Below are 12,542 nucleotides of genomic sequence, written 5' to 3' on the forward strand. Positions count from 1 at the left end.
AGCATTTCCTTTGCAACTATTTATTTCAGCAAGGAAAACCGGAAAATTCACTTCTGTGATGAATCACAGATTTTTTTTTCTCCAGCAGATTTCCCTTCATTTAAGCAGGCACACTTTCCCTAAATCCCTGGCACACTCCAAATATCCAGGCAGAGAACTCTGGGCTGTGCCAGGTGTCAATGCCTACTTTGGGGAGGTGGGGGGAGGTCCCCTTCTAATTCTTCTATGTCCAGGTTGAAGCCCAGCCAATTACTAAGCCCTCGAGAAAGAAACAATGGCTAATTAAGATGAACTTTAAGCGGGGGAGAGGACTTAATTAATTTGATCTTTATCTGAAACTCTTTCTAATTGAAGTAAACTTTAGAAGTTCTATGGATCAATGCGCTCAGACTATTTGTAAAAAATGTACATATAGTGCTTCTTTATAAAGCAGAAGGTTGATAAACCGGATATTAGCTAGTGGATTAAATTAACACTGACCTTCAGTCCCCTTCCCCAAGCACAACTGTTTGTGAAAGTGCTCATTTACTCACAGAAATAGAAAATTTGGGCTGTAACAGATCTGACGTAGGTGGAAAGGGGCTGGGGGGACAATAATGCACTTTAAAACAGACAGGTGGGATTCTTGGCATTTCTCTGATTATTCTTAAACTATTCTACTTATTTCTCCATTGATTTATGTATTTGCATATTCATTTCTCCTATAAACATTTATTGAGCAACTATGATGTGCTAAGGACCATTTGTGGGCATAGAGTGAAAAGTGGCAGGGTGATTCTCTGCTTTCCTGGAGTTTATATTCCAGTTGAGGGAGAGAAACAATGACCACATAGAGAAATACGGAAATACATCATTTTGGCTGGAGGATGGGATGCAGTGGCTGAGGTTAGGCGACTGTTTGATCAGGATGGTTGGAGATGGGCTTTCTGCAGAGGTGAAAGTTAAGGTCAATCTTGAACTTTGAGAAGATATTTAAAATATGCAGCTCTTAGGAGATTCTAAGATCCAGCCCAGGTGATATCCATGGGTTAGCCCAGGAGTATGAGTCCAACCAACCTTGGGTTGCATGGCAGACAGAAGGAAGGCCAGTGTTGAGGCTTACAGGAAGGGTGGTACAAAGTGGAGTATCAGGGAAGGCAGAACCCATGTCCAGGAGAGTTTGGTGCATATGTGGATTTTCTTTGGGTACAATGGAAACCACTGAAAAGGTTTTGTGACAGAGTGATCTTTGTCTGATGTCTCTCTCTATATATATACTTAAAGGTCACCAAAGAATAGATTATAGGGGAATAAGAATAAAGGAGAAAGCTGCTCCCATTCTGCTAAAACATCCACCAGAGAAGATACGGGGCTTCCTGAAATGGAAGAAAGAAATTTCTCAATTTTCTGAGGGCTGTGAATTTGGCTGCAGGACACGCTGCTGCTTCATGAGGCAGAGTGGGGATGCCGTTGGTCAGCCCATGAGTTCAGTGGAAATGTAGGCCCATCTGTGGGCTCTGAGGGCAGCAGCACCTGCAGATCTCCGAAGGAGGCTCCTGGTACTCCCCCAATCTACCTAGAATTCGCTTCTTATGCAACGTTGTCTCTCGAGAAGGAGCCAGTCACCCTGGACTCTAATCCCAGCTCCTTCACTAATGGTGTGGCTTTGGGCAAATGAATGAATGTGCCTCCAGCTTCTAGGGTTGCATGGGAAAAATGGGACTTTTAACACTTATCCCATAGAGCTGTTGTGAACATTAAATGATATAAAACTATAGTAGTGTTTGGCAGGGCTTGGCACTTAATAAATAATGGGTGACGTTTATAGAGTATTTGCTATAGCCCTGTGTTAAGTGTTTTATATATTGATTATCTCATTGAATCCTCACGAGAACCCCATGCAGGAGGTACTGTTTTTATTTTCCTTTTAAAGATGAGCAGAGTGACGTTAAGAAACAGTCTGAGATCACAGTCCAGTAAATGAAGAAGATGGGATTTGAACCCAGTCCAGTTCCAAGAGGTGGGGTTAGACCCAGGTGACTAACTGAGGAGTCTGATCTCGATCTCTTTTGCTCACTCACACACTTGGTAGCCCTTATTAGGGTCATTACTGTCCGTTTGTTTACTCAGTGATGCAAGGCACAGCTGTTCTGTGCCAATCACTGTGTTGGCAGCATCTACATACAGTGATTCTCCTCGATGCCTGCCCTACCAGAATTCTCCACCAGGGAAATTCCACAGCGCAGTCTTGGGAGGTGTCGGAGTGGATGGAATCCATCACACCTCAAGGTAGGGGAATGGAATCCATCACACCACAAGGTAGGGGAATGGAATCCATCACACCTCAAGGTAGGGGAACCGCAAATACAAGATGCCCAGTTAAATTTGAATTTCAGATAAACAGCAAGTAATGTCTAGTATGTCCCAAATATCACATCCTGCATTTTATCCAGAGGAAGAGAGGGAAAGGGCTACAAGAACATGGAGGCTAGAGAGGAGAGGCCCAGTCAGTGACAGCTTCACAGAAAGCAAGCAATGTGCTAAGAATGAGAAGGAGACGGCTTAGCTGAGGCCAGGAAGGAAGGGCATTTCAGCAGAGGGAAAGGCATCACCAGAGGCACAGAATCAGGAAAGAACAGAGGCCTGCTAAGACTGGGTGTATGTGTTTTTCTTTTTCTTTTTTTTTTTTTTTTTTTTTTTGAGACGGAGTCTCGCTCTGTCACCCAGGCTGGAGTGTAGTGGCACAATCTCAGCTCACTGCAAGCTCTGCCTCCCAGGTTCACGACATTCTCCTGCCTCAGCCTCCCTAGTAGCTGCGACTACAGGTGCCCACCACCACACCTGGATAAGTGCTGGGATTACAGGTGTGAACCACCGTGCCCGGCTGACAGGGTGTATGTGCTTTAAGAGAAAGCAGTAGAGACCAAGACTTGGTCCTGGGTGACCAAGAACTTGAACATCCTGTTAAAAAAAGGTCTTTGGACCTGGCACGGTGGCTCACACCTGTAGTCCCAGCACTTTGGGAGGCTGAGGCAGGCAGATCACCTGAGGTCAGAGGTTTGCGACCAACCTGGGCAACACGGCGAAACGCCATCTCTACTAAAAATACGAAAATTAGCCGGGTGTGGTAGCACATGCCTGTAATCCCAGCTACTCAGGAGGCTGAGGTAGGAGAATTGCTTTAATCCCAGGAGGCGGAGGTTGCATTGAGCCAAGATCGCTCCACTGCACTCCAGCCTGGGCAACAGAGTGAGACTTCACCTCAAAAGAAATAATAAGGAAAAAGGGTATTTGCTTTTATGGCTAAAGGCATCACTGAGTGTTTCTAAGAAGAGTATCGGCACTCAGGGGGTCACCAACTGGCCATTTTGAAGGTCCCTAGGAGACAAAGTGTTAAGTGACTGGGTCACTCTGTGGATTCAGTTAGGAAGGGAATCTTCTTTTCTTGATTATGCTTGTGATTTGAGAAAAACAGTAAGTTTGCTGCGTAAAAAGGCAATAAGGAGGTGCCCAGGAATTCTTTGCCACAGATAAAAAGAAAGAGAACAAAACTATATTAAATACCTCCTATGAGCCAGACATTGTGCTGGGTGCTGGGGATAACATGGGAAGCGGAAACAGACCTTTCTGTTTTCTAGAGGACACAGACAAAGAATTCCACAAATAAATGTACAATTGCATGGTGCTAAGGTCGACACACGGGTACTGAGCTTGTGGGTATCTAGGGGGATTCATCTAGCCGGGGTCAAGGTGGACTTGAAGGTCGTGGCAGGGGGTATAAAGAGCTCAGAGGTGAGAGGCCAGTGGAGAAAAGGAGTAGGAATGTCACCCTGTAGTCAGCTCACCGGACCCCATAGTCCCTGCCAAAGGGTTCTAGTTTTTCCTTCAATAGGCAATTGGGGCCGGGTGCAGTGGCTCACGCCTGTAATCCCAGCACTTTGGGAGGCCGAGGTGAACAGATCATGAGGTCAGGAGATCAAGACCATCCTGGTTAACACGATGAAACCCCATCTCTACTAAAAATACAAAAAATTAGCCAGGCTTGGTGGCAAGCGCCTGTAGTCCCAGTCACTCGGGAGGCTGGGGCAGGAGAATGGTGTGAACCTGGGAGGCAGAGCTTGCAGTGAGTGGAGATCAGCCACTGCATTCCAGCCTGGGTGACAGCGCGAGACTCCATCTAAAAAAAAAAAAAAAAAAAAAAAAAAAAAAAAAAAAAAAGGCAAATGGGGCACTAGTGATGATAAGAGTTCAACAGAAAAGTCAGTCTAGTCCCGGGGGTTCAACTGGAAGGGGGGATGACATGGAGAGGCTGCAGGGAGCCCAGTTAGAATGTCACGAATGGTGTCCCAGGGGAGAAAAGAGGACCGTGGTTATGTCAGGGACTCAGGCTGGAAAGGAGTAGGTTGGAATTATTATGGGTTGTTTTTCATTTTTTAAATACATCTCTGTGTTGTTTCCTATGTAAAACTGTATCACCGATGCAACTTTTTACAGACAAATTAAAAAGATTAAAAGAAGGGAAAGGAATAAACTTCAGCTTGCAAGACCCATGGAGACAATGTGAGTGAAGATGAAAGGAGAGAGACAAAGAAGTGGCCGAGTTTTGGAAACGCACACGCTCCCATGGGCACCGGAAAGGGTGCGTCTGGTGATGGGACCGTACCTTGCGGCAAGCAGCTGGCACCGAGGTGAGCTGAGGGCTCTGAAGAGACCTCTCCACAGTCTGTGCCACTCCCTGGAGACTCACTCCCCTCACACCGGGCATCTGAGAGCAACATCTTTGCTGACAACAGAGTTTCCCAGAGGGTTAAGGAAATAACGAGGGGACCTGCAATCCCAGGGGAAGGAATTTTTAGTTAAGTAGAAGTGATATGACCTTGGGGGAAAGTGACCATGAACTTACAGCTACCGAATTCCTCCCTTTTATTGCCTACGGCGGGGTCAGAGAGAGGTGGGTAGATATTTATTGAGTACTTACTATATGCCTGTAGAACACCCAGAACGTTCCAGAGCGTATGCATCTTCACACTGAGAATATAAGCTCCACTAAGGGAGGGATATTGTTTTCTTTGCTGTGGACCTTCCGTGCTTACAACAGAGCATGCTCTCAGTAAAGGTTAGCTTATGTTATGTGAATTTTGCTTTTACATGACTTCTGACAATTTACTTTAAATTCAGTGTGCCTCAATGTTCCCATCTGTAAAATGTGGGCATGAGTAGCGCCCATTTCATAGGATAAAATGAAATGCTGCATTTCGTCATTCTGCCTTCTCATTGCCAGGGTGTGGTAAACAGAACCTGTTGGTATTACAGTTGGTCTTTGAGCAACATGGGTTTGAATTGTGTGGGTCTGCTTATATGTGGTTTTGTTTTCAACCAAATATGGATTGAAAACACAATATTTACAGGAGGTGAAATCTGTGTGTACGAAGCGCTGACTTTCATTATATTCGGATTCTGCAGGGCCGACTTTGGGACTCGAGTATGCATGGATTTTGGTATTAGCAGGGGGCCCTAGAACCAATCCCCCATGTGTACCAATGGATTACTGTATTATTATTACAATGACCATATAAGCAAGCATTATCTTTATGTTATACAAATAAGAATCGGAGGTCCAGGAAGGCTAAGTAATTGAGTCGAAAACACCTAGGTAGTAAGCAGCAGAGTCCAGATGCAAAGTTCTGTGCAGGGCACCCACCACCTCTACAGAAAGGGGAGGAGGCACAGGCGACAGTCAGACGGGCACTCCTGGAAAGGTAATAATGAAGGAAAGGTGAAGGGGGACTGTATTTGTTTTCTGCAGTTTCTATTACAAATGGCCACAAACTTGGTGGCTTAAAACAACACAAATCTATTCTCTTACAGTTCTGGAGGCCAGAAGTCCTTAAGCAAGGTGTCAGCAGGATCATGCTCCTTCTGAAGGGTCTAGGGGAGTATCTGCTCTTGCCTCTTTGAGCTTCTGGTGGTTTCTGGCAATCATTGGTGCTCTGTGGCTTATAGACACGTGCTCCAATCTCTGCCTCCATCTTCACCTGGCATTCTCCCCTGTTCCTTCTTCTCTCCCCTTCTCTTATAAAGACTGTTTTTCTTGGAATTAGAGCCTAACCCAATCCGGGATGGTCTCAACTTGAGACCCTTAATTTCATTATCTCTGCCAAGACTCTTTTTACAAATAAGGTCACTTTCACAGGTTCTGGGCAACATGTCTTTTCTTGGGGTGGGGGAACACCGTTCAATCCACTACACAGGCAAATACTTTCAAGAGTAAATAAAACAAAGAAACCTGATTTGGAAAGACAGACGGCTGGAATCAACTCTGAGCGACAACCGTGCATGCAACTGGCATTATCACGTGCTTCCAGCTGGCAGATGCTCTGCTAAAAACGTTGCCTTCAGATGCAATCTCATGGAACCCTTACTACAGCTGTGTGACTCAGGTATGATCATAATCGTGTCTTTACCCAGGAGGCTCATGAAGCTCAGAGAGAGGAAGCAACTGGCTCAGGGTCCCACAGCTAGTAAGTGGAAAGCAGGATTTGAATGTGGATGGGCTGTCTCAGGAGCCCTGGCTTCCTTAAGGCACACAGACACACACACAGATGCCCACACACAGATACCCAGACACAAACACACACACACACACACACACACACACACAGAACACACACACACAGACCTTTTGAGTACTGGTTAAAAACTAGAAGAACAAAGCAAGATATAAATGCACTGTTTGAGGCAGATGTGCAAAGTTAAAGTGAGAAGGCAGGAAGGCAGGAAGACCCAGTTCTTCACTAGCTTTTGTCTTATTCATCAAAGGAATGAGCTTAAACCAGAAAGAGCAGAACAAACATGGCTAGGAAGGGAACAGAAGATACGTGAAATGATACAGACGGCCCCAGTCTAGGCAAATGGATTCAAGTCTTCAAGGAAGGTATCTTACCAGGATCCCCACACTCTGATCTTGTGTGACACTGATACTCCATAACATTGAACAAGGAGAGGCAGATGAAAGGTTTAACCTGCAAGATCTTGCTTCTGACAACCAGGGTCTGACCACTGACTCCATCACTTAGCCTGTTGTGCCACCTTTGGCAACCACTTTACCAATTTCAACCTCAATTTTTAATCCACAAAATATAGTTTTGCCCATAAAGTCTGAAGACTTCAATAATTTATTATTTTTTATAGACTGAAGATTTTCTTGATGATATTATGCCTATTTCCCCTTGTTTCCAGAATTTATGCCTCCCTGCAGAAATAATAACAGTATCAACCTCATAGGGCTGTAGTGAGGCTTAAATGCACTAAAATGTATAAAAGTACTTATCATGATACCTAGCATACTAGGGGCTCCATAAATTTAAGATGTTTTGTCCAATCCACTTTCTAAAAAAGTTGATGAACAGGGTTCTACCCCCATTTAAACTTTTTCCATCCCAAATTGCAGCATTTAAAAATCTGCAATATATCTAATTTAGCACAACACCTATATTTAATGAATTTCTGTTGGATATAGCAACATTTTATACACTTCAACAGACGTGAGCACGACATTAAATTTTCTACACCCTAAATTAGTTTTAGAGACAGTAAACTAGGGCAGGGCTTGGAAAACTTGTTCTGTAAAAGGCCAGATAACAAATATTTTAGGCTCTGTAGATCACATACGGTTTCTGTTGCAACTGTTTAACTCTGCAGTTCCAGCAGGAAAGCAGCCACAGGAGTATGTAAATGCAGGAGCATGGCTGTGTTCCAATAAAACTTTATTTACAAAAGTGGATGAAGGCTGCATTTGGCATGCAGGCTATCGTTTGCTGACTCCTGACCTAGGGTGCTGAGAAAATTGGCAAATATCACCAGTAATTCTTGAGGCATCCAGAGACACAGGGTAGTATCTGGGAGCCTCTGAACAGGAAATGAATAGATTTTCAGAAAAGAGAAACGCAGATGAAGGATTCCAGATGGGATAAGCTGGATTTTGGTCCTGAGGCTGAGAATACCTTGCCCAAGGCAATTCATAACGTCCTAGCAGCTGTGGGGTTTGGACCCCGGCATTCTGGCCTCACAGTCTGCATACTGAACTACTGTACTTCACAGCCCCAGCCCAGAACAGGGGGTGGCATGCAGTACAGGGGAAATCTCTGGGTGTGAAGCAAAAGTGGATTGGATTTTTAAATTGTAAAAAGGTTTTTAAAAGCCTGCTTTCTAAAGAATGGCTTGGGGCAGGGGCTTTAGGGGGAAAACAGGGAGACCAGTTCGGTAGTGCCTGTGGTGGAGGGTATAGAACTAGTTCCCAGGCTTGGCACAACCCCTGACTTCTTGTACACATTCCCGTTTTCTGGGTAGTTCTCTCACAATGACATTTATTATCATATGGCCTTTGTTATCAGAGTTGTGCTTTATATTCTTAAAGCGCTTTTGCTCTTTGATGTACCTATTTTCTCATTGATAGTCTCTCTTGGAGGCAGATGGGTCTGGGGATGGCAGTGTCCATGCACGGACAAAGCCATGAGTTATTATAAGACAAGAGATAAAGCTGCAAGGTATTGATTTGACAAGGTCACATAGCTAGCTTTTGGAAAAACTTGCTATAGGTGAGTCAGCTCCACCCAGGGTGGCCCAAAAGTAACTAAGGTGGAAATAGTGTTTTTCTGGCTATCATTAAGCGTTCTCTCTCTCTATCCAAATGATACACATTTTTGTTCATCGTCATAATGTTGCTTGACAAGCCTCGTACTGTCGCAGGGACTGTGCCACAAGTGCTGACCGCTTTATCTCTTTTAATCTTCACAAGTCCCTGAGGAAGATACTCTTAGAAGCTGATCTTATAAAGGAGGAAACTGAAGCCCTGTCATTGACAAACAGGCATTTGCAATAACATTCATTCCTATGTAAATATCCTTTACAGAGTGTTCTTTCCATCACCATTTGATCGCCAGAAAATCCTGCTAGGTGCCAACCAGACTTACGTGCAAACCTTAGCTTTGCTGTTTCCTTAATGCATGATAACCTGAACAAACTCCTGAAATTCCCTTGAGCCTCAATTTCCTTCTCTGTGCAATGGGCATAAGAATTCCCAACCCTGTGAGTTGTAAGGATTAAGTGAAATAGCAAAAGTTGCTTTCATCCCTGCAGCATGCATTAAGAAAATCCTATGGAAGTGATTAGCACCTGACATAGGGTAGGTGCCTAGTAATATATTGCCGCCCTGGGAGTCTCTTATTTTTTCTTCGCTTATTTTCAGAGGGCATTGCCTGGCCAATATCATCCTCATTATATATAAGCTCAAACAAGTGCAAATCAGAGCTCCTTTTTTTTTAAAAAAAGAAATCAGGTTCTGCATTTGGAAGAGCCTAGAGACAAGGAAATGCAACTTGAGGCATTTAGGGCAACTCCAATTTTGGGGGCCACTTGGTTGTGCTGGAGAGGGAAACAGGGGCAAAAGGAGAATTTGAAATCCCCACAGGTTCCTGGGAAACAATGGAAGTCACAGGGTGGGGCCCTTGCATGAGAATACATTCTTTTGATTTTGTTTTGTCTTTCTGATTGGCTGCCAGTTTCTTAATGCAATATGAGAGCAAGAGGGAGCTAATTCTCTTCAGAGCCTAAAATCCCTCGAGCCGAGCTGGCACTTGAACGAAGACAAAGCTTATTGAGATTGGGCAGGGAAGTTGTCACTGTGTGATTTGGGAGTCTTTCATTTGGCCAATATAACTCCATTAGATTTTGGAAGTGAACCCAGGTAGCAGGGAGGGTTCTGGAAGTAACATTCTCCAACCAGCTTGTAATTAAAATGGAACCCTTTGAAGAACTGGTCCTCTCTCAATTGCTCCAGCCTCTCTCTGTCAGATTGAATGCCAGGAAGCCGCTGCCTTAAGCTTTGGCTAGTTTTCTGCCAAGGCGTTTAACTCTCAGTTTTGTGTTGCTTGTATTAGTGCTAAGGGCATAACTGGGTGCAGAATCTGGTACATCATTGCATCTGTCATTGTGTCTGTCTTTAGCTCTTCCTAATAACCACAGCTCTGAAACATGAAGGAGCTGTTTTGCAAGCTGTATCTTTCACACCCGCCCCCACTCACTCCGCAACTTGCCCCCTTCCTTCTGTGATTTTTTTTTTTTTAACCCATGTTTCACTTCCCACATTCTGGTTCTTGTTCTTCCTGGAGAACGGGACCAGGCAAGAAACACCAGGGCACATTAGGTTAAAGGAAACCTTATTTCCCCCTCTCTGCTAGAAAAGTCAGAGCTCTCAGAGTTGAGTGATCTTCAAAACCCAGTTCCTTATAAGAAGGGGGCTGCCAGTGAGTGACTGAGAAATGGATGGTAATAATCCGACTCTAGACCGACTAAACTGGAATTTGGAGAAGTGAGAGTTTGCATCAGTCTTTGCTTCCAGAAAGCTTTATATAGGAAGAAAGTGCCACGCAAATGAGATTTCACAACACCGGTATCTGGTAATTTTGGTTGCATTTCTTCTGGGTCCGTGGTGGAATTCACAGAGAAAAATGCAAGAGGGAAATTGTTGCATTGTAATCTGCTTTCCAAAATCTCCGTCTAGAGTCCCCCAAAATTAAAAAAACTGTACATTAAGCAACAAAGTGGAAAAAAGACATTATCCAGAAATATGATGGAAGTGGTTCATATCAGTCACGGTGTCTTCCCCCATCTGAATAACCCTCTAAACACCCTTATCTCCCACACTGTGTTAGGAATGAGAGACATCTGTTCATCTTCTGTAAAGTGAAAATAAAGCATCTTAGAAAACTGTACTATTCTTATTGATCTATAGTATATAATCTAATTAAAACCAGTATGCCTTCTACTTAAATACAGCTTCAAAACAAATTCAAAACAAATTTAACATCTCTCTCTTCCAACTCGATTATCTTTCCTACTCACTTCCTACATGGAAATGTTGGTTATATGGTTAATATCCATACAGCATAAAGAACAGACACACCATACAATAAACATTAAGTCATCATAAAAAAAAAACAGCAAAAGACTATGGATTAGGAAATGAGCAACTAATCAATTGGCAAAAATTCAACCTTACTGATTATCAAAGAAATTTCAACGCACCATTTTTTACTAATCAAGTAGCAAGTCTATTTTCATACCGATTTATTCAAAGCAGGTAAAAGTATGGGCTGCAAAGGCTCTCATCCTCCTGCCATATCCCAAGAGGGCAAAGGTTATCTACACATGCCGCCTGCAATCCAATTTTATGGTTCAACATTCTTTATGCCCAGATCATTCCAAGCATAATTTGACGCTAGTGGGCATTTTGTTTTTGAGAACAAAATGTGTATGTGGTAGATATGTTAAGGAAACTAAAGCTCCAAACCCCCTCAGTTGTATAGACTTCTTTGGAGATGCCAGGAAAGGCTCTTGCAATTTTCTATTTCTAATTTTGTTAGCAATCCAAACATTTTATAAGCTCTGAGTCTTGGAAATCCAGGCCCACCTTTGAGCAGAGTTGGAGGAATGGTGAGAGCCGTACAGGAATGCTCTGGCCATGATCATGGCTGGTAGCCTGAAGTTAAATCCAAAGGGCTTAGAGGAAGCCAAGAGAGGAGATACTGGGCCACCCACAGGGTGGGGAGGAACACCAGTGGGGAAAGACAGAGGTCAAGGCAGAGCAACCTGTATTGAAGATGTTCTGTTAGTGATCAAAGGGAGAGGTAGTCATCAAAACAGCTCCCCTTCACTGAACAGCCAGAAGGTGCCACGCACAGTGCTTACAAATTTGAGGCATGAACTTGGAAATCTGGCTCAGCTCCTCTAAGCAGGAATTGCCCTCCTCGGTGTATAAGTCAGGAATGTGTGGCTTGCAGAGATGAAGGGACTGGCTCCTGGTCACCCAGTGCCTAGGCAGTTGGTTAAAAGTTAAACCTGGCCAGGCCTGCCTGACTCCAAAATTCCCATCCCTTCTGCAAAGCCACCTTCCTTATTGGACAAAATATTGCAAACCCCGGACATGAAGGCCAACCCTGTGAGTGGCGAACAATGGTAAGAAGCCATGTAAAGCTGTAAAACAAGGAGAAAAATGAACCTCTGGGCTCAGATGGGAAATGGCTTCAGATATTTCAAGAAACAAAGTGGGTTTGTTTGAGGATTGAAGCACCTCAGTTTCCCATTTATTCCTAACTCAGCAAGTGGATCCACAATGAAATCAAGTCCCTTAACAAATAGAGCTAATGCAGGCCTAATCCCACATGGAAGATGAAAAATGTGTCTTAATCTTTTGCCTGGCCTGGAAAACTAGACCTTGGAGTGTGTGTGACTGCCACTCCCATCAGTCAACATATACAGGCAGGAAGACTTGGGGTGAGGAACGGGGTGGTGTTGGATGAAATGGCTTCAGAGAAACCTTAAATGCCAGCTGGCCCCGCTTAGGGCATCAGAGTCATTCCAGCTGAACTGAAACAAGTATTTCTTAATCTCCTTCACCCTTCATGGCTTGGACTCCATCTACTAACTTTGAAGTTTGCCTTTCTTTCTTGATGTTATGGACTTGGTTTCCTCATCTGTAAAATGGATCAATACAGAACAGAAGG

At 43.9% G+C, this 12,542-nt stretch overlaps 1 protein-coding gene across 5 annotated transcripts in view, besides 1 other annotated feature; it reads right to left on the reverse strand.

Moving 5' to 3' along the window:
* Window positions 1-12,542, reverse strand: part of MAF (MAF bZIP transcription factor) — a 398,116-nt gene that overhangs the window by 116,368 nt on the left and 269,206 nt on the right. The gene's annotated exons all lie outside the window — the stretch shown is intronic.
* Window positions 9,218-10,093: an enhancer, noted in NCBI's record as "OCT4-NANOG hESC enhancer chr16:79362104-79362979 (GRCh37/hg19 assembly coordinates)". NCBI's record gives its function as "activates a minimal SCP1, AML or CMV promoter by ChIP-STARR-seq in naive and primed H9 embryonic stem cells {active_cell/tissue: H9 hESC(naive and primed)}" and the evidence as "EXISTENCE:reporter gene assay evidence [ECO:0000049][PMID:30033119]".

Source organism: Homo sapiens, chromosome 16 (assembly GCF_000001405.40).
Source record: "Homo sapiens chromosome 16, GRCh38.p14 Primary Assembly".
NCBI lineage: Eukaryota > Metazoa > Chordata > Mammalia > Primates > Hominidae > Homo > Homo sapiens.